We start from the raw sequence: 22,159 nt of genomic DNA, 5'->3' as shown, positions 1-22,159 counted from the left end.
CAAATATTTTGTGAGTAATGTATTAAAAATAGGAGAAACTGGGTGAGGAATTATAGGTACTATCAGCAAAATTTTGTAACTTTTTGTAAATCTAAATATATTCTAAGATTGAAAAGATATTAAAATTGACATGTTCTCTCAAAGAGCACATCAAAACTTTTCTCAACCTACTTTTCTTTTCTTTTCTTTCTTTCTCCCTCTCTCCCTCTCTCCTTCTCTCTTTCTCCCTTCCTTTCTTTCTTTTGCATATTCCTTTAAGTCCTCTCTTCCCAGGATTCTAATATCAAGTTCGTAATATTTTTAACTAAATTCTGTAACTTCTTGCACAACTTTGTAAACATATTAAAGTCATTTAATTTTACATTTAAAATAGGAAAATTTTACAGCATGTGTATTGTATCTCAAGAAAGTCTTAAAATCGGTACATTCTATCAATTGATTCTAATTTCATCTTCTCATGTTACTGCTCTTTAAATATTGAAACTATTCCCTTCCTTCTTTTTTCTCTTTTTTTGCATTCTTTATTTGAGAGGGGGATGTCCTTCCTTTTGAAGAGAAATTTTTAAGTCTTTACATTTCATTATTTGAACAGTTTCTGTAATTTCACTGTCAGGTCATTATCTCATAGACACGTCCCAGAGTCTGAAAACACTTCCACATTTGTGACCCATTCTGAATGCAATATATCAATTGATTCTAAAGTGAAAGTCTTATTTTCAGTTTCAAATGTTATTTCTAACATAAGAGAACAACATTTTCCCTTCTTAATAATACAGTGCTAGAAATTGACGGAGAAACATAATACAGTAGGTTGAGCATAACCTTTAGGCTCAAAGTCAAAACATTTACTTGCTATATTATTTCAGAAAAAGTAAGAGTCTTGATATGGTTTGGATCTGTGTCCTCACCAAATCTTGTGTCAAATTTGAACCTCTAATATTGGAAGTGGGGCATGGTAGGAGGTGACTGGATCAGGAGATGTTTCTCATAAATGTTTCAGCACCATCCCCTTGATGCTGTGCTCATGATAGTAAGTTTTCAGAAGAGATCTGGTTGTTTAAAAGTGTGTAGCACCACCGCCCCTTCCCAACACTTGCTTCTGCCATGGAAGATGCCTGCTCCTTATTTACCTTCTGCTTTGAATAAAAGTGCCCTGAGGCTCCCCCAGAAGCAGACGCCACCATGCTTCCTGTACAGCCTGCAGAACCATGAGCCAATTAAACCTCTTTTCTTTACAAATTACTCAGTATCATGTATTTCTTTTTTTTTTTTTAATGACAGAGTCTCGCTCTGTCACCCAGGCTGGCGTGCAGTGGTGCAATCTCAGCTCACTGCAAGCCCCGCTTTCCGGGTTCACACCATTCTCCTGCCTCAGCCTCCTGAGTAGCTGGGACTACAGGCCCCTGCCACCACGCCCAGCTAAGTTTTTGTATTTTTAGTAGAGATGGGGTTTCACTGTGTTAGCCAAGATGGTCTCCATCTCCTGACCTCGTGATCCACCCACCTTGGCCTCCCAAAGTGCTGGGATTACAGGCGTGAGCCACCGCGCCCGGCCTCATGTATTTCTCCATAGCAATGCAAGAATGGACTAATACAAGTTTAGGTCAAATTTACCTTTAAAAATTACTTAGAAAAAAAAAAAGCTGGATTCTAGGTTTTGAAATCATTTTTTTTTAATCAGGGTTTTATATACTACTCTCTACTATTGGTCATGTCTTCTATTCATCTACCTTAAATGATTATTTACCTTTTCAGATAAATAAATGCTACGGGAATTCGTTACCACCAGACCTGCCTTACAAGTGGTCCTTGCAGGAGTGCTAACCATGGAAATAAAGACTGATCAGAGCCATCATAAAAACACACTTAAGTACATCGACACTATAAAGTAACTACACAATCAATTCTACATACCAACCAGCTGACAACACAGTGACAGGATCAAATGCACACACATCAATATTCACTGTGAATGTAAACATGCTAAACACCTCATTTAAAAGGCACAGAGTGGCAATTGGATAAAGAAGCAAGACCTAACTGTATGCTGTCTTCAAGATGCCCATTCCACATGCAATGACACCCATAGGCTCAAAGTATGGGTTGGGGAAAGATCTATCAACCAAATGGAAAACAACAACAACAAAAAAGAGCAGGGGTTGCTATTCTTATTTCAAACCAAAAAGGCTTCAAACCAACAACTATCAGAAAGGACAAAGAGGGGCATCACATAATGATAAAGAGTTCAATTCAAGAAGAAGACTTAACTATCCTAAGTATGTATGCATCCAACACTGGAGCACCCAGATTCACAAAACAATTCATAGAGACCTATGAAGAAACTTAGATAACCACACAATAATAGTGGGAAACTTCAACAGCCCACTGATAATATTAGGTGGATGTTCAAGGCAGAAAATTAATAAAAATATTCAGGATCTAAACATTTGAGCAAATTGTCCTAGTAGACATCTACAGAGCACTACACCAAACAAAACAGAATATACATTCTTCTTATCTGCACATGGCACATACTCTAAAATTGACCTCATGCTCTACCATAAAGCAATCCTCAACAAATTAAAAACAAAAAATCAAATCATACCGGCCACACTTTCAAACCACAGTGCAACATAAATAGATACTTCTCAAAAGAAGACATACATGCGGCCAAAAGGCATATGAAAAAAAGTTGGACATCACTGATCAAGAAATACAAATCAAATCGACAATGGGATACCATCTCACACCAGTCAGAATGGCTAACATTAAAAAGTCAAGAAATAACAGATGCCCTTAAAAGAGACAGGAATTGCTCACTCGGGGAGCTCAGTTGTTGGAGACGTGAGTTTTGCCGAAGTTCCCGGCTGAATAAAGCCCTTCCTTCTTTAACTTGGTGTCTGAGGGGTTTTGTCTGAGGCTTGTCCTGCTGCAATACCATCTCATACCAGTCAGAAAGGCTATTACTAAAAAGTCAAAAAACAATAGATGCTGGTGAGATTGAGGAGAAAAGGGATGCTTATACACTGCTAGTAAGAATGTAAATTAATTCAGCTACTGTGTAAAGCAGTTTGGAGATTTCTCAAAGAACTTAACACAGAACTACCATTCCACCCAGCAATTCCATCACTAGATATACACCCAAAGGAATATAAATCATTCTACCATAAAGACACATGCATACATATGTTCATTACAGCACTATTCACAATAGCAAAGACATGAAATCAACCTAGATGACCATCCACAGTAGGTTAAATAAAGAAAATATGGGGGCCAGGCACGGTGGCTCATGCACGTAATGCCAGCACTCTGGGAGGCTGAGACGGGTGCATCACGAGGTCAGGAGCTTGAGACCAGCCTGGCCAACATGGTGAAACCCCATCTCTACTAAAAATAGAAAAAATTAGCTGGGCATGGTGGCGGGTACCTGTAATCCCACCTACTCAATAGGCTGAGGCAGGAGAATTGCTTGAACCCGGGAGGCAGAGGTTGCAGTGAGCCAAGATCGCGCCACTGCACTCCAGCCCTGGCAACAGTATGAGACTCCATTTCAAAACAACAAAAAAATAAGAAAAGAAAAGAAAAAAAAGGAAATATGGTACATACACACCATGGAATACTACACAGCCATAAAAAATGAAATCATGTCCTTTGCAGCAACATAGATGAAGCTGGAGGCCATTATCCTAAGCAAACTAATGCAAGAACAAAAAACTATATATTACATGTTCTCGCTTATTTGTGGGAGCTAAACATTGAGTACACGTGGACACAAAGAAGGGAACAATAGACATTAGGGCTTACTTGAGCGTGGATGTAGGGAAGAGGGTAAGGATTGAAAAAATACCTATTGGGTGCTATGCTCATTACCTGGGTGATGAAATAATCCATACCCCAAACCTGTGCGACATGAAATTTCCCCATGCAATAAACCTGCATATGCAGCCACTGAACCTAAAAGTTGGAAAGAAAAAAACAGATAACCATTATCTGCAATATATTCAACAGAAGTGTCATAAATAGTTTAAAAGTTGATGTAAAAAAAAAACTTCTGAAAAATAGATTATTCTGCCATTCATTAAATTATTTAAATATTGCAGAATTTGTCACTGATTTGATGAAAACTTATAATTTTTTTTTAAAAAAGACTATTTAACAGAAAGCCTGGGACCCTGATCTCAAACATGCAACCTCTTTTCCATCGATGTAATCAATAAACCACTCTGCTCATTGTCTTCTTATAAACTAAAATTTACTGCCTATCTATAAAGAATTATTTACTACATATTGCCTTAATTTGTAGTTATAATATGTGGACAAAATTACCATAAACTATCCATATGTAAAGTCCTTATGCCTGCATTGTTTTTCTAATTCTTTAATTTGTAAAAATAACAAGAAGAGTCTACTTTGGAAACACAAGTGGTGGCATTTGCTGAGGCATTTAGTAATGGGCATGAGATTATCTAAGATGGCTTGCAAACATGGCTTAACAAATGCGTGATGCAACTTTTTGAAGGCAAGAGCCTTCTTTTGTTTATCACTGCACCAACTGTGGTTATTGAAATAGAATGTGTTGGCAATGGAGCAGGTAATCAGCAGTGTTTGTTGGCCCCTCTTCCTGCAGAAAAGTCACCAAGTGTAATTCATCTTGAGAAATGTAGGGTCCCTTTCACCACACTTTTGCAGAGGTGAGCTATCAAGTACCGTCCTGGAGTTAACACTCAAGCAATCACTACAATTCCAATTAGTCAGTGTCATAAATGAAAATGACTACAGCCTCTCAAACTCATGAGTGGTTGGAACTTACCTCTTTGTCTTGTATCCACTCAGATAATGTAGGTTAAATGGAACTTACTTTGAACTAGCTTTCCTTTCCTAGAACGTGGTGAGATGGGGCTTTGAGTGTACAAACCACATCTTAGTTATGTACATGAGACACAGATTTTAAATACAATGATAAGTTGTCACCTCTGGCGATGTCCACTCTGAAACTGGGTGATGACATTCCAGAGGGGTAGAGGGGATTCCTCATTAGGCGGTTTGTTATTTTAGAAACATCTTATTCACTTTCGCTGTGATTTTTGGACTCTTATCTAGAAGCATTGTCAATTCTGGGGCTTATGCTTGAGAAAAAATTAAAACAATTTGTCTTAATTTCCAAGACAGTCAGATTGCCATGTATTATGCAATAGTCTTATCTGAAATGCAAATACAATCGTGGCTGTGTTTTTATTCTCACAAACTCTCTACACCATCCTTCCTTATGTGGTGCTTTCCATACAGTGTCTCCTGTTCCATGGGCAAGCGGGAGCCTCCACCATATACTCCCTCCCTTGGAAAAACCCCTGTGAGGGTTCACCAGCTTCTTATCATTGTAAAGGGAGGCTGTGGGGTGGGGGTGTGAGTGTCCTGAGGGGTGAAGACCAAACAGCCCTGTCTTCCCTACTCGTCCCCAGCTAACACCTCCAGGGTGGTCCCATATGGTCACGCCCAGGCCCCAGAAATGATCTTCCTCCTGCACATTTTCTTCCTCATCCATCTCCCTTTTATTCTGTTTTCTTGCTGCTGCCACCCGATTCCTGAATCCTGGCTCCCTTTCACTCCTGCAAGGTTAAATTTAGGGCAGCCTTCTGCTCTCATGCTGAAGTCTTTGCCCCAGTTGTCTACATCTTGGAAATATGTAGCCTCTGGGGTGGGATATAGTCAGAGCTGTTTTGTTTCTCATTCGCACTGCTGGGTGTCATTCTATGACCTGATGGATGGAGCAGAGCGGTGTTCTAAATTCCAGGGTGCTGCTCTGCCTTCTCTCTCTCTCTCTCTCATTTTTTTCCCTGTCTACCCAAGATATCTTAAAACAAAACAACAATACAAGATAACAAAACCAGATATTCCTCAGTTTCCGGCCAATTTAGCTTCCACATTGGTTTTCATTGCTAAAATGAAACCAGACAGTACACTTCTCTTTCCTTCTTTTGAATTCAAATTCAAATTCCTCCTGTTATGTCTGTGTATGTGGGTATAGGCATGTGTATCTTTTAAGCAAAAGTATTTAGCACATATAATATGCAAGGTACTATTCTGAGTGTTTTTACATGTGCATTTTTTTCACAAATTCAGTGTTACTAATGTTATAAAATTAGGAAGCAAATTAGGATTTGAATGCTAGACTTTTGGCACAAGACATGAGGCTCTTAACTTATCCTCTACTCCTTCTCTCTAATATCTTCTAATAGAACTGCTACCTAATTTTCAGGGCCCAGCACTAAATAAAAGTGTAGGTGCCCGTATTAGTCTGTTTTCACACTTCTGATGAAGACATACCCGAGACTGGGCAATTTACAAAAGAAAGAAGTTTAATACACTCACAGTTCCGCATGGCTGGGGAGGCCTCACAATCATGACAGAAGGTGAAAGGCATGTCTCACATGCGGCAGATAAGAGAATAGAGCTCATGCGGGGAAACTTCCCTTTTTAAAACCACCAGATCTCATGAGATTCATTCACTATCAGGAGAACAGCCCAGGAGAGACCTGCCACCATAATTCAATCACCTCCCCCTGGGTTCCTCCCACAAAATGTGGGAATTGTGGAAGTTACATTTCAAGATGAAATTTGGGTGGGGACACAGTCAAACCATATCAGCACCCTTGCTCAAAAATGATTAAGATTTCCAAGATGGCAACAGTGGAGCATTAAAGTAAGCACAGAGGCTTTCTGAGTGTGGGTCCTTGGGCACAGGTGGCATGCCAAGAAGCCAGCTGTTTCTTCAAACATTCCTTTCTAATTGTACATTTTGTTTGTATGTGTGTGGCTACAGTGGAAGTCAGGGAATTATTACACCTAAGACAGGATGAGTTTCTCTGTAATTTGGTTCATTCAGGCAGCAGGGCATGGGCAGATAAAGCTGTCCCTGAGGAGGAGGGGTATAGTCTGACCAGGAGAACACAGTGCCCAAGGGCACTGAGAACAAAGCTCAGATCAGCAGTATCTGATATGGAAGATAATGTCAAGGTTGTCAAAGAAGAGCATGGCAATGGGCTATCTAAGGGGAAATTAATACATGGGCTCTATGCCCTGGCTGCGTTTTTTTTTATGGGAGTCGTAGGAGGTTGAATGAGATGGCACGATAAAATTAATTCTGGAAAGTATCAGTCAAGATGGGCTCAATTACACTGCAGAAACAAACATGCCTATAATATCAGTGACTTTGGACAATAGAAATTTATTTGTTGTTCACATTGCCTTTCCATCATGAATCTCACAGAGCAAGTGGCCGGGTGAGGGAGTTCTCTGCTCAATATAGTTTCTGAGGGATCTAGGCTGATGGAACAACATACGCTGTTTTGAAATTTTTTGATCATGGATCAGAGAGAAAGAAGTATTCTATAGGGCTCAATTCACAACGGGTTAGTCAGAAATAGTCACATGGCCCCATTCAGTGACAAGGCTGTGCCATTCTACCATGTTCCCAGGAGTTATGAGAACTGGAATGAATTAAATATTCACACGAGGAGACAAGTACAAGAATGCGTATAGGAGTATTGATTGTAAAAGGAAAAAAGAAACAATCCCAGTATCCATGGCCAAATACTGTTTGCCCAACAGATGGCTAACAGGCATCTCCAAATTAAACCTGCTAGAACAATCTATGTTTTTTTCTTCTCCAATTCTTACCTTCCCCAACTCAGTGAATAATGCCTTTTCAGTTGATGAGTCCAAAAACTTGAGAGTGAATCTCACACCTCATGTTAGAAGATAGATTCTTTTACCTTCAAAATGCATACAGAACCTGACCACCTCTCACAACTTATCTCTGTGGCCCTAGTGTAAGGCAGGTCTCTAATGAGGTTGCACCCTCATCCTCAAGTGTATTAGTCTGTTCTCAAGCTGCCAATAAAGACGCACCCGAGACTGGGTAATTTATAAAGGAAAGAGGTTTAATGGATTCAGCATTCAGCATGGCTGAGAAGGCCTCAGGAAACTTATAATCATGGTGGAAGGGGAAGAAAATACGTCCTTCTTCACATGGCACCAGCAAGGAGAAGTGCCAAGCAAAAGAGGGAAGCCCCTTTAAAAACCAACAGATCTCGTGAGAACTCACTCACTATCACGAGAACAGCATGAGGATAACCAGCCCCATGATTCAAGTATCTCCCACCAAGTCTTTCCCAGGACACATGAGGATTGTGGGAACTACAGTTCAGGATGAGATTTGGGTGGGGACACAGCCAAATCATATAATCAAGTATTTGTATATAGGCCACTTTCCCATCTGGGTGTTTCCTGGCCTCATGCCAATTGCAGTCTGCTCCCTGACCATGCCCTCCCCGCCCTCTTTCGTGCAATTTAACAGCACTAACAGGCTGAATGAAACTTCCCTTATGATTTTTTCTTTTGACTTGGCTTCAGGCCTCCTGGTTTTTACTCTCTTAATTGTAATTTCTTTTTAGTCTTCCTTGCTTGTTCCTCCTCATCTCATGGACTCCTGAATGTTGACATTCAGAATCCATTCTTTCACTGTCTTCTCTGCTCTTTGGTCTTATACCCCTGGTGATCTCATACAGGGTTTCTAGTCCTAACTTCGTAGACAGCATCTCCGTTTCGGTGTTCACCTTTCAACTAGAATTTAATATGTTCAAAATTGAACTCCCTTCCTGCCCACTCTGAAGCTGCTTCTTCTAGTCTTCCTCATCCTGTTAGGGGATATTCATCATCATTCATGTTGCTCTGGCTAAAACTTGGGAGTGATCCTTCATGCCTCTCTTTTTATCTTCCCGCTCCCATGTTTAGAGAATAAACAAATATTGTGGGTTACACTTTTAAAGATATACAGAATATGACCTTTTTCAATATTCTCAGTGTCAACATCTGTGTTCGATTATTAGACCTGCCATAACAAAGTGTCACAAACTGGGTGGTTGAAAACAAGTACTTCTCACTGTTCTGGAAGGTAGAAGTCTGAGGCCAAGGTATCGGGAGGTCTTTGCTTACTCAGAAAGATCTAGGTGAGAATCTTTCCTTGCCTCTTTTAGCATTTGGTTGTTGCCAGCAATCCTTGGTGTTTCTTGGCTGGTAAAAGCACCTCTCTCATCTCTGCCTTAATACTCACATGGCCTTCTCCCTGTGTGCATGTCTCTGTTTCTTCTCCTCCTGTTATGAAAACAACAGACATTAGATTTAGGGGCCCACCCTACTCCAGTATGACTTCACTTAAGTTACATCTTAACTACATCTGCAAAGGCCTTATTTCCAAATAAGGTCACCTTTACAGGTACCAGGAGTTGGGACTTGAGCAAATATTTGGGGAAAATGTAGAAGTGGTAATAATCATCCAGTGATAATTATCTTTTCCTGGTTGCAAATTTTATTAGATTTAAAAAGTTTTATTCATTCCCGCTTTGTTGAAAGTGTTTACCGTAAGTAAATATTAAATTGTACTTTTTGCCTCCTGGATCTGCTGAAGTGATCATGTGATATTATCCTTGAATATTTCATTCAACACAGAACACACAATTCGGCCACTCTAGTCAAAGCTACCATGATTCCTTGCCTGGATTATGGCTACAGACCCCTGTTAGTCTCCTGCTTTCACCCATTCTCCCGTGTAGACTAAACAGTACAGAATCCAAAGTGGTTCTTTTACAAGTAAGTCAGATCACATCACTTCTCTGCTCAGAAATTTCTAGGGTTTCTTTTCTCACTCAGACTAAAAGCAATTCCCTCCCAATGCACAGCAAGTTCTTGCAGGCTCAGTGCCCTCCCCTCCTTAACTCTCTAGCTTCATCTTCTACTTTCTCCATGGATCACTGCTGTCCAGGCATCCTGGGACCACTGTGCTCCACAAACACACTGAAGGGATTTTGCTTTCCATTTCCTCTCTCTCAAATACTCTTCCCCATAAATCTTACTGTATTAGTCCGTTTTCATGCTGCTGATAAAGACATACGCAAGACTGGGCAATTTACAAAAGAAAGGGTTTTAATTAGACTTACAGTTCCACATGGCTGAGGAAGCCTCACAATCATGGCAGAAGGCAAAGAGGAGCAAGTTACGTCTTACATGGATGGCAGCAGGCAAAGAGAGAGAGAGTGTGTGCAGAGGAACTCCTCTTTTTAAAATAATCAGGTCTCGAGAGACTAATTCACTATCACAAGAACAGCATGGGAAAGACCCACCTCCATGATTCAATTGTCTCTCATTCAATTATCTACCACAACACATGGGAATTCAAGATGAGATTTGGGTGGGGACACAGCAAAACCATATCACTTACATTACCCTCTCCATGCCCTTCTTCAGTGAGGCCTTCCCTGACTGAAGGCTGTATGACATAGTGCTGAGGTTGAAGGACTTACAAATAAAGGACCTGAGTTCACATCTTGCCTTGCCATTTACAGCAAACAGCCAATTTATGTAGACTCTGAGTTTATGAAATAAGTCTATGAAATAAACTGAGTTTATGAAATAACTCTCATCTATGAAATAAGGAAATTAATAGTGGCTTGATATTTTGGAGTTGCTGGAAAATTGAAATAAATTAACACCTAGAAGAGTCTCTCACACAATATAAATACCTAATAAATATTCGTGATTGTTATTAAAGTATGCACCACATCTTCTTCCAGTAATGCCTTATGTCTGCTACTTGATTGGACTCCATAGTATTTGTTACCATCTAGCAAACCATATGTTCTGCTTTTTTTTTTTTTTTTTTTGCCCCCTTCCCACTAAATAATTACCAGGAATATTGCCTCGTAAATATTAGACATTCAATAAATATTATTTGAATAAATGTTAAAATGTCTAGACCCTTCAGTATAATATAGAAGTGGTAATAATAATCCAGGGATAATTATCTTGTTCTGGTTGCCAAGTTCACAAGATTTTTAAAGTTTTCTTTATTCTCACTTTGCTAAAAGTGTTTACCATAGATAAATATTGAATTGTTCTTTCTTTCTTGGATTTACTGAGGTGATCATATGATATTCTCCTTTAATATTTTGTTATAATCACTTACATCTGTTATTAATATAAATTTTCGCATATGGATCAAATCTAACATGGTTATTATGCATGCTCTTTTTAAATACACTGCTGAGTTCAATTCGCTAATGTTTTAAGACATATTTATGAGTAAGATTGGCTTGTAATTTTTACTTGTAATTCTGCCTTCAGAATGTTTTGGTATCAAGATTATAGAGGAAAATACAAGTTGAACTTGGGAGTATTCTCTTTTTCTTGTTCTCTAAAATAATTTACATAATATAGAAGTAGTCTACCCCTTGAATATTTGAGAAAATTTTCCCATCTTGGCCTGACCATTTTTGTATGTGTAAATTGTAAACTACTTCAACGTCTCTAACGGATTCATTTTTGTCTCTTTTATACTGATCAGTTTTGTCAATTTATATTTATCTAGGAATTTGTCTCTCATCTAATTTGCTGAAGTTTTTTGACAAAACGTTTTTTTTTTCATTTTTCTCTTTGGCATCTATACTTTTCTCCCCATATTCAATTCTAATATTGTTTATGCTGGCTTGCTGTATTTTTGTTTGAAAATATTGATAATGAAATATTTCACAAGAAACTTTGAGGTTTAAATATGATAAAATAAAAATACTTTATTTTTATGATAAAAGTATCATTACGTTTGTTTATGTCTATATTTATATTTATTTACCTCTATATAAATTTTTTGGTCTTATTGACCTTTTTAATTACCTGCCTTTTCCAGTTTCTGAATTTCTGCTCTTATCCTTAATTGCTTTCTTCTATTCCTTTGGCTTAGGTTTTTTTGTTTATTTTGTTTTTACCTTGCTTTTGTTTTGTCTTGCTTTTGTTTTTTTCTTGCTGTTGGTGCTTAGTTCATAACTTTCAGTCATTTTTCTTATATAATATAAGCATTTAAGTTTATAAACTCTATGTATGCACTGATTTTCCTACACCCCAGGGTTTCTTGTGAAGTATTTTGTCATCTAGTTGTAAACATTTTCTAATTTCCATATGCTTTCTGTTTAAGCCATAAATTATTTAGAAGTAATTTCTCTCCACTTTAATTTCCACGTGCATATTTTCCTTACTTTTTAATCACCAATTTCTTTTACTAATGATGCTGTAGAGGAACTGTAATTGTTATAAAGCCAACTATTTAAAATGTGCTGAATCTTGCTTTATAACTTAGCATGTGGTCAGTCTTCAAAGGGTCTGTGCATTAGTTGCTGTATTAATGTTAGTGTCTTGACTTTTACCCTTGTGCTGTAAGATGTTAACACTAGGAATATAAGTGAAGAATATAAGGGGTTTCATTACACTTTTCTTTCCCATATTTTTAAAAGTCTGAAATTACTTCAAAACAAAAAGTCAAAAAGTTTTAAAAACATGTAAAGTGATTAACTCAACGGTAAAGAATTTCCTCCCTTCTCTTATATCTATAATCCCACCTGTTGTCTTCATCACCATCATCAAACCTCAAATGGTGAGGATTATGAATTCTCCACTGCACCTTTGATGTGGTTTGGCTGTGTCCCCACCCAAATCCCATCTTGAATTGTAGCTCCCATAATTCCCATGTGTTGTGGGAGGGACCTGGTGGGAGATAATTGAATCATGGGGACCGTTTCCCCCATATTGTCCTGTGGTAGTGATAAGTCTCATGAGATCTGATGGTTTTATAAGGGGTTTCCTCCTCCACTTGGCTCTCATTCACTCTTTGCCTGCCACCATGTAAGATGTGCCTTTTGCCTTCTACTGTGATTATGAGGCCTCCCCAGCTATGTGGATCTGTGAGTCCATTAAACCTTTTTTCTCTATAAATTACCCAATCTTGAGTAAGCCTTTATCAGCAGTGTGAAAACAGACTAATACAACCTTCTAATTACAGCAGAGTGGGGGTCGGGCCCAAGATGTAATGAGGTTGCTGCCAACAAGATTGCCCTCAATGATGCCTTTCGTGATCCCTACAAGATGCTTGTCCTGGTGGAATTTCACCACCTCATAGTCAGCTCCTTAGGAGAAGAATGCTTGGCCTGCTATTAGCTTTTCTCAGTTATACATCTACTTAATATTATAAGTAATATATAAATACTTGATATTATACCAATAATATATACTTAATATTGTACTAAAAATCTCACAAAATATACTGTACTGTTGGATAAATTCAACTCTAAAGGTAATAACATAATTGATGTCGGTTCTAAAAAGTTTAAAATTAGGTAGTTAGACAGATACAGATGTGAACAGATTCTTTTTCAGATATGGAACATACTCACATTTCCAAACTATCATATCCTAACACAAATTAATTTATCATGTTTCACCTGATTTTAAAAATAACATTTAATTATACAGCGAGAATTCAAAAGGTGGGTGTTGCTAGACAAACTCAGTCAGACAATGAGGCAAAAGGCAATGAATGTTTTTATTTGTTAATCCACATTAGCAGCAACACCAGAAAAATCATTAACCACCCCACCTAGCATTGAAACTGACTCCACTTATCGCTTCTTCTTTTTAAATTATAATGTAAAAATGAATTGCAAAATATATTTTATTTGAACTTACTGAAGTCAAAATCATAGGAACCAGATATTTAAATAAAGTTTAAATCTAAAGTTTATATTTTAAACATAAAATTTAAATCGTTTGTTTTGAAAAGTATATCCTTGAAAAGTATTTTGATATAGATGGGAAGATTTTCATAGACTGGCATCTATTTTTCCACCTACTGTTTAATGAAGTAAACTGTTGAATGATGTAAACTGTTAAATGAAGTAAACAGTTAAAACTGATGACATAAAAGACAAGCAAAGCGAAGGAAACATGTTATAAAAGATAAGTATTACAGCATTCTTAAGTATGGTACTTTATAAAATGAAAACCGGGATGCTGTCTTCTGAGATATCAACATATTTATAAGGAGCACATGCTATGTGACATACTTCAGGATGCCAAGAATTTTAATTAAAACTCAACTTCTATAAAGTGAATATAAAGCTAATAAGAGGAATATTTTTAAAGGTTGGGATATGTAAACTACAATAGCAGCAGTTTGAAACAGAAGAGCAAGAAATAAAGGGAAATTACATTACATTAGTATGAATGTATTCAGTAACTTCTGTTGGAGATTATGTGTTATATATGCACAATTCTAGTTATTTTTCAATCAATGCTTTATAGGCATAAATTGAAATTACCTGATATTAAAAGTTTCTGAAATTCACTATAGAAAATACACATGAGCATAAACAAATGAGGATATTCTCTCTCTCCTGTGAAAAAAATGTGTGGGTAATATATTACATTACAGATAGAAATTGTATACTTGAAATAACCATAAAAGACTTAAATAGTATATGGATACTATTTTCAGCAAAATTGTTTCATATTTAAATTTAAACTTTTAGTTATTTTTTCATGTGTCTAATGCAAGATTTCTAAAATTTTCATTTTTTACTTTTTATAATGTTAACTGAAAAGGAGGGAGTGCATTTAACATAAAAACAGAAGATGAATCCTGAGATTTCTCATAAATGTCTTAATGTCCTAGAGATGTGGGCACTTGCTCCATAGTAAATTATGGATGCCACGTTTTACAAAATCCTTACTGCCCCTTTGAATTGTGTCCTTCCTCCAAGATAAGAAGCTATGACTCAATTGTTCAACATGGAATTATAATGAAAAGCCTTTCTAGTTCTATCTTTCCCTAAATGGGCTCTATTTCTTGTAATTCACATGACACTCTTTGGCTGTGGCTGTCTGTTAAATTTCCTGTTTTGGACTAGTTTCAGCAAACCAAAACAAATAGCTCACAGAAAAGGCAATGGTAACTACTTTTTTTTTTTTTTTTTTTTTTTTTTTTTTTGGTATTTTCAGTTAGATTCTTTCTTCTTAGAGGTACAGAGAAAGGGAGGAAAATAGCTACAGACATGGTGTAAGTAGGTCACAGCAGTTTCAATGCACCAAAAAATGTGACATCTCCATCCAGTGATATTTGTGCATTTTCTCTTGGTATTGCAAGTTGGAGTTCATCTCCTTCTTCCAGTTTTGCAATGCCTGGGAAAAAATGATTTACAAGAACTATAAGTGGTTATACAACAGAAAAGAAAAGAATCTTAAATAAAACTATTTTGTTCTGTAAAAAAAAAATGTTAACATAGGCATTCACACTTCAAAATACACCAACGGACTTCTAAACCATTGCAATTATCTTAGCCTAAAAAAAAATTTAGAAGAAATAAGCAAAAGGAGTTACAACAGATATGTATGCATTTATCACCTACTCATTAAAAAATGGACTTCCCCAAAAGAAGCCCAATATATAACTTTTTAAACAATTAGGTAAATCATGGAACATCCCTTGATAGAATATTAAATTATTAGTGATGAGTTTTGTTTAATTTTGTTGACAGGGAAAGTTTTTATAATAATGTTAAATAAAAATGTGAAAAATTACACACACATATATATACTAGATATTCCTAATTATAGTTTTAAACATACAAATGAAAAGCATAAATATTAAAAACTGAAGAAAACACCATTTCTTAACATACCACATTCATTAATATAGTTTTTCTTGAGAGTCCCGACTATGGATTTAAGCATTATCTGGATTACTTTTCACAACCTCTTATATTTTGTTTTCTTAGATGACCATGTTTGTCTTTATAATCAAAAACAACAGTGTAATTAACTCTTCAAAAATGACTAATAAATCTGTGTGCAACTAATTTACAAGGACAAATGCATCTGTGAATTAGTAATACAAAATACATTCAGGGACTACACTCAATGTATCAGGTAATTATTTACCCCACTTCAAAACAAAAATATGAAGAAGAAAGAGGAGGAAATGGGGGAAGAGAAGAAATAAAGAAACTAACAAACATTAAAACTGTCATCTGAATTGTCAATACTTGTGGCTATTTTTAGAATAGTTTCATTGTTTCATTAGCATAGTGAAAATGTACCTACATAAACACATGTATGTTCATGTCTATTCTAACCTAAAGCCCAAAGCATGCAAATTTGCTCAGGCAGCAGCCAGGGGGAGTTTATTTATTGAACATTTACTATGTACCAGCCACCCTTCTAGACAAACACACAGTAGTGATCAAGGATGACAGAATTTCCATCCCCACTGGGTATGCTTTTTTGTAATGGGCAAAGACAGAATACAAGCAAAAGAAAGTTTTTCAGGACTTATTAAAGGTTATGTGTACACTTTCTAGAATTGACAAAGCCTTTGAGGACTACCTTAAGTAGTAAGAATAAAAAGATTGAGATTTATTTGTTGAACAGACTTGTCATTTTCATAGAGATTGGAAATGACCTAACATTTTGACAAAGACCATAGCTCACAAAGCATTAAGTAATATTAACTCTAAGGATTAGGTGGGTGTGAACAACTATAGAGTCCATTTAACATTTTAACACTAAATTATCGGCTACTTCAATTCTTCCAGATTACAGCAATCAGGTATAATTTTTCTAATAAACATTTTATTAATACAATAAATAATAAGATTCAGCTTTAGGTATATAAGTGGTTCTTTGGTATTATGTTGGGTTTCTTAAGTTGGCCATTTACATCTTTTCAGGTTGCTATGGAAACATTTTATGTACTTATATATACTCTAATGTGTGGTTTTAAATGGCTTTAAATAAATTTGCCCTAAAACAGATTAAAATTGCAAACCTGAAACTTACTAGAGGATGGTACTCATATACAACAGTAAGCTACTAGTAATGAAAAATATTTTTAAAGTCCGGTGAATTATTCTTAAAAAGTAAGACACCTTAAGAAATCTAGCAGAGTCCTCTAACAGCAAGTAAGTGTTAGAGGAGCAGATGATTAGAAAAACGTTTTAAAGAGTTACTTGTAAAATTTTTAGTACTAATAAATATAAATAAATAACAGATTGGAGTAGTCTCACCATTTATAAATATTTTGCAACTCCAAACTACTAGTCAGCACTGGGTGAAGGGAAACATCTCTTTATGAAAGTTAGGGAATTCTAATTTTATAAACTTCCTCATCTCCCCACCAATGCTATCTGTGGCTGCAGATCCAGAATGACATCATTTCCATTATTAGAAACTATTTTCCTTAGTTTCTAACTGACTTATTGGGCATTTGTTTGTAAATGCCTTTGAAATACAGTTTTTCAAAATGCATAGCCAGCCTCCGTTCCTGTGTGTCACACGGTCATTCACGGTAACCATCTGGAACTGAAGCCATTCCTCAGGGTTCTGGATTTTTACAAAATCAACAGAGAAAATAAATGTGTTTAAGGTAAATATTTTTCTGCAAAACCAGCCTGGATTAATTTTAAATCACCCTTGAAAAATAAAATGAAGGAAATGTTGGCAATTACAGCTGAAACAGACCTAAAGTTTACAAGATCTGCCGTGCTCTCTGCCTCTCACTGCTCCTGGGTGCAAAGGTAGGTTTGCGCCTACACTTTCGCATTCCTAAGTCACCTGTCTGGTGTCCACTGACACAAGATGTCATCTGAATTGTCAATACTTGTGGCTATTTAGAAAGAAGCCATTGTACAACTTTCCCTTACCCTCAAACCTGGCCAGGGGCATTTCTCCTGTCTGGTGTCCACTGACACAAGATGTCACCTGTATTTAGAAAGAAGCCATTGTACAACTTTCCCTTACCCTCAAGCCTGGCCAGGGGCATTTCTTCCACAGCATGCAAGAAGAGTTTTGGTTGCTCCCGGTGCGGAGCCAGACTGGCTGGTTTAAACCAAGTCTAAAAATTAGCTGTGTAACCTGGGACAAGTTATGTTACTTCTCTGTGCCTAGATCCTAACTCCCTTAAATGCGAAGATTAAATAAGCAAGCATATATAACATGCAGAAAAGAGTGCCTGGCAAGTGGTAATCACTCTATCCTTGTCAGATATTATTATTGTTGTTATTAAGTGTTGAAGAAAATACATTAGAATTTTTTCTCAATGTAGAAGTTACTATGTAGAAGTACTATGTACCATGTATTATGTACAAGGTAGAAGTTGCTATGAAATTACTACCCTTTCTAAATGTATATAAAAATGGTAAAACTATTAGTAATAATTCCATCTTTCTCAATTAAAACAGACTAGCTTATTATTCAAGATTTAAAAAACACAATATATTGAGGAATGTCTTTCTGTCTATTTGTATTTTAGGGCACCATCCTTTCATTTTTGCATTTTGCAGCTCAGATTTTTCGTCAAAGTCTCTTCATTTCACAATTAGCAGGGTGTGAGAACTAATATTTACCAGCTGAATAGCAGGAATTATTGGGTAGTGTTTCAGGCATATTTTGAATACATCGAAACAAAGTCACCAGACTCAATTCATCCCCAAAGACATGGACCTTCTTCCTCTGAATTAGATGTCCCATGGCGTAGGTCTTATCAGTATATAAAACCTAAGAAACAAACCAAAAAACTGTGTCAGAAATGAACACAAAATGGGAGGCTTTGAACAGTAAAACCAGAATTAGGGTTTCAACCTACCTGACCATATATAAAAAAGTAACCAGTTTCTTTGACCAATATTTTATTCTCTTTTTCTTCTAGGGCACTTCCCCTTTTAAAGCTGAGAAGCCATGGAACAAATGTGTAAGATCCTGCAATGAAGAGAATCATTTATAAGGAAAGAAACCAAGAAAAGCAGTTTTCACCTCCATTTAGTTGTTAAGCTACCTCTGAAACTTAGAAGATAATTCCATCCTAAAAAAAAAAGAAAGAAAGAAAGAAAAAAAAGGAAAAAGGAATACAAGTCACATTACTGCACTGGATTCTTTGCCATCACTTATATGTTAACCTGGGTTAATATATCAGATACAAGAACCTGAGAGCTAACCCTTTATATGAATGTCTGGGTTTTCCCTTTATTGGTCTATATTTCGGCTATTTCATAATAAAGGCTGATCTGGATAAGAGAGTTTGAAGCAAAGAGTGGACAAAATTTCTCTGAATAACACACTAGTAGAGATTTTCCTTTGATTCCCAGAGAGGAAAGAGTATCTGAAGAGTTTGGCAAAATGTTTCCAGACGAAGAAATCTCTCCATTCCTTGGCCCAAATGTGGCAACAGAAGGGAGCCTACGGAAGAAAGAAGAAAGTGACTAAGACACAACCTTTACTAAGAACGGTCAAGGAACTTTGTAACAACCATCTATGATATTTGAGTTTCAATGGCTTCTGTTCAGTTCAGTGATAATTCTCCTCCATTACCCATCAAAAGTCACTTGGGTAGTGACAAGGAGACCACTGTGCTCAAGGGTGAGATGAAAGGGACAGAGAGAAGACAGTAGCCATCAGTGAGTAGGCACATGGGGGGACTACATTGCTGAGCCAGAATCTGTAGGTGCGTTCAGACATCAAAACCCATTAAGAGAGCAGAGACATTCCTTTCCTGTGAATTCATACTTTACATTCCCTGGATTTCTCATGGGTGTGTTGAATAAAGGGTGAGCCCTAAGGCTGGAGATTGGGAAATTTGGGGAGTATAAATTAAATGATGTAAAATGAATAAAAAGAAGATTGAGGGACTGTAATATAAGGATAAAATAGTAAAATAGAGCTATAGAAGTTAGTCTAAAATCATACTTTAAATGTCCCTATATAATTGGTAATGGTGAACCATACCTGTCTCCAAATTTCATCCTGATCATAGCAAAAATGAAAACAAAATTGATAATAAAATTCAGAATCCACAACAGACAATAGGCTAGAAGCCCAAGAAGATAACAATATTTCTAGAATTGAGATTAAAGAATATTTTTTCCTGTGGGTTTTCATGAGGGGCACAGGATGATGTGGTAGCTAACAGTGTGTTCACATTCTGTAAATACAACTGCCAAGTGTACATGCCTTCTTCACATAGTGTTTCCAAGGCAAACCAAACATATTTAAACTTTTTCCAAATAAAATTCTTTTTTGATCTTATGTTTTAATTGACAGATAAAATTGTACATATTTGTCATGTACAACATGATGTCTTGAAATATATAGGCATTGTGCAATGACTGAGTCAAGTAAATTAAAATATATGTTACCTCGTACAGTTGTCATTTTTGTGGTGAGAACACAATATCTACTCATTTAGCATTTTTCAAAAATACATTTTCATTAACTGTAGTCACCATGTTGTACACGAGATCTCTTGAACGTATTCCTCCAGTCTAACTGAAATTTCGTAATCTTTGACCAACGTCTTTTCACCTCCACCCCCGCCACCCCAGCCACTGGTCAACACCATTCTACTCTCTACTTCTTTGAATTTGACTTTTTTTAGATTCCACATATATGTCAGATCATGTAGTATTTGTCTTTCTGTGCTTATTTCACTTGTTATAATGTCCCCCAAGTTCATCCATGTTACTGCAAACAACAGGGTTTCCTTATTTTTATGCTGAATAGTATTCCACTGTGTATATATTGCACATTTTCCTCATCCATTCATCTGCAGATGGACACTTAGGTTGATTTAATATCTTGGCTATTGTGAATAATTCTGCAATAAACATTGAAGTACAGTTATCTCTTCTATGGTCACACCACTCCGAATGCACCCTATCTTGTCTGACCTCAGGAGCTAAGCAGAGTTGGGCATGGTTAGTACCTGGATGAGAGATATCTCTTTGACACACTGATTTCATTTTCTTTGGATATATACTTGGTAGTGGGATTGCTGGATCATATGGTATTTTATTTTTAATTTTTAAAGAAACTTGTGTACTATTTTTCATAATGGCTACACTAATTTATATTCCCATTCCAAATAAGATTATGGAGGGAAGAATATAAAATAAGAACCACATATTTCTGATTGTTTCTAAGGAGTAAGAATCCTAGGTGATAACCAAGCAAATTACATTGTAAATTCAAGTTGAAATAAATAACATTTCCCTAGTCAGATCTTTGAGTTCCTATTACCATAGACAGAGGGAGGAAAGATGTCAGGGAGAGTGCAGAGGAAGGATGGAGGATCTATGGGTGGATCAAGAAACTTCCCAGGTCTTCTTCAGCACATGTTCTTGTCGGCCTGTGCTTCTTGCTCACTCCCAGGAGCCACCTCTGTCACTGTCTCTCACCAAGGGTGAATGTGCCTTGATATGGGCAGGTCTAATTGGCTTTTCCCAAAGAAGGGAATATTTTCCTTAAAAGAAAAGCCCTCTTGTATAGTAATAGTTAACACAAGATCACCTCAATGACAAATTACAAATGCAAAATCATCATCGCCTCTTTTACGATATAATTTCAGTGAAAAGATTATAATAAAATAGTTTTTAATTTTGTTTAAATGACATAATGTATGCAAAGCACTTTTTGGAGTGCTGAAAAATGAGGAAGAGTTAATACAGTTACTGTCATTATTGTAAAACACAAACTGATGACTTCACCAAGGCAGTTGCTTTCATAGTTTAATGATATTCATTTGATGCTTGGAGGGAAGAGAGCTTTTAAAAAAATAATATACTTGAGAGATACTAAATTTTCTGAGCTAAAGGGCCATTTATGTTTGGTTCCCTGTCATTTTCCCAGGGCTTAACATCATGACTGACCCACAGTAGACATGCAGCAAATATTTATTAAATTAATGAATTCAAATTTAAACATAATATAATTCAAAATAGCAATGTACTGTAAAAATTAATCACAGGTATTCAATTGTTTTTTTAAAAGCATTTTAATACCAAGTTACTGAAATTCTTGGTAATGAAATGCCCTCCATCATAGAGGTAGTATATTCTCTTAAATTTAAGTAAAATACAAATTTCTAAAACCACTTGTTTACATTCTGGCTAGAGATATTTGTTTACTAAAATTTTATAATAATTTAGATTGATTTGTTAGATTTTTTACATTAAATTTATATGTATAAAATTAAAGACCCACTTCTTAGTAAATGTCACTGGTGCATTGTCAGCCTAGAAAATAAAACAAATACTTAGTAGGTCTCTATTCTTACTGTCTCTTAACATTTTATTTAGGCATTTTATCATCTCTTTCTGGCAATAATCTTATTAAAGTGATAGAGAACATGTTTACTTATTTTTATATATTGTCTTTATTCCTCCAACATCCACACACACACATACGCACATCCACATACCTACCTGGGCTCTCTGCAAACAGGAGGTAAAGA

General features: G+C 36.3%; 1 protein-coding gene and 1 pseudogene across 3 annotated transcripts in view; one reads left to right on the top strand and one right to left on the bottom strand.

Annotated features, from left to right (window-relative positions):
• The window catches only part of TNFSF13B (TNF superfamily member 13b), a 38,856-nt gene continuing 30,098 nt past the window's right edge, over positions 13,402-22,159 (bottom strand). The window contains exons 3-5 of one of the 3 annotated variants that reach the window (NM_001145645.2): positions 18,521-18,633; positions 18,282-18,432; positions 13,402-15,060 (exon numbers count right to left, since the gene is read on the bottom strand). In NM_001145645.2, the coding sequence (NP_001139117.1) occupies positions 14,948-15,060; positions 18,282-18,432; positions 18,521-18,633 (377 nt within the window). In that variant the 3' untranslated portion in view covers positions 13,402-14,947. Of the gene's footprint in view, positions 15,061-18,281; positions 18,433-18,520; positions 18,634-18,992; positions 19,111-22,159 lie in introns of those variants that run through there. The other 2 variants (NM_006573.5, XM_047430055.1) reach the window with 2 other exon arrangements.
• On the top strand, positions 20,555-20,674 carry RNA5SP39 (RNA, 5S ribosomal pseudogene 39; annotated as a pseudogene).

Source organism: Homo sapiens, chromosome 13 (assembly GCF_000001405.40).
Source record: "Homo sapiens chromosome 13, GRCh38.p14 Primary Assembly".
Classification (NCBI taxonomy): Eukaryota; Metazoa; Chordata; class Mammalia; order Primates; family Hominidae; genus Homo; species Homo sapiens.
The sequence above is the reverse complement of the archived record's forward strand: the minus strand, read 5'-3'. Positions and strand labels throughout refer to the sequence as shown.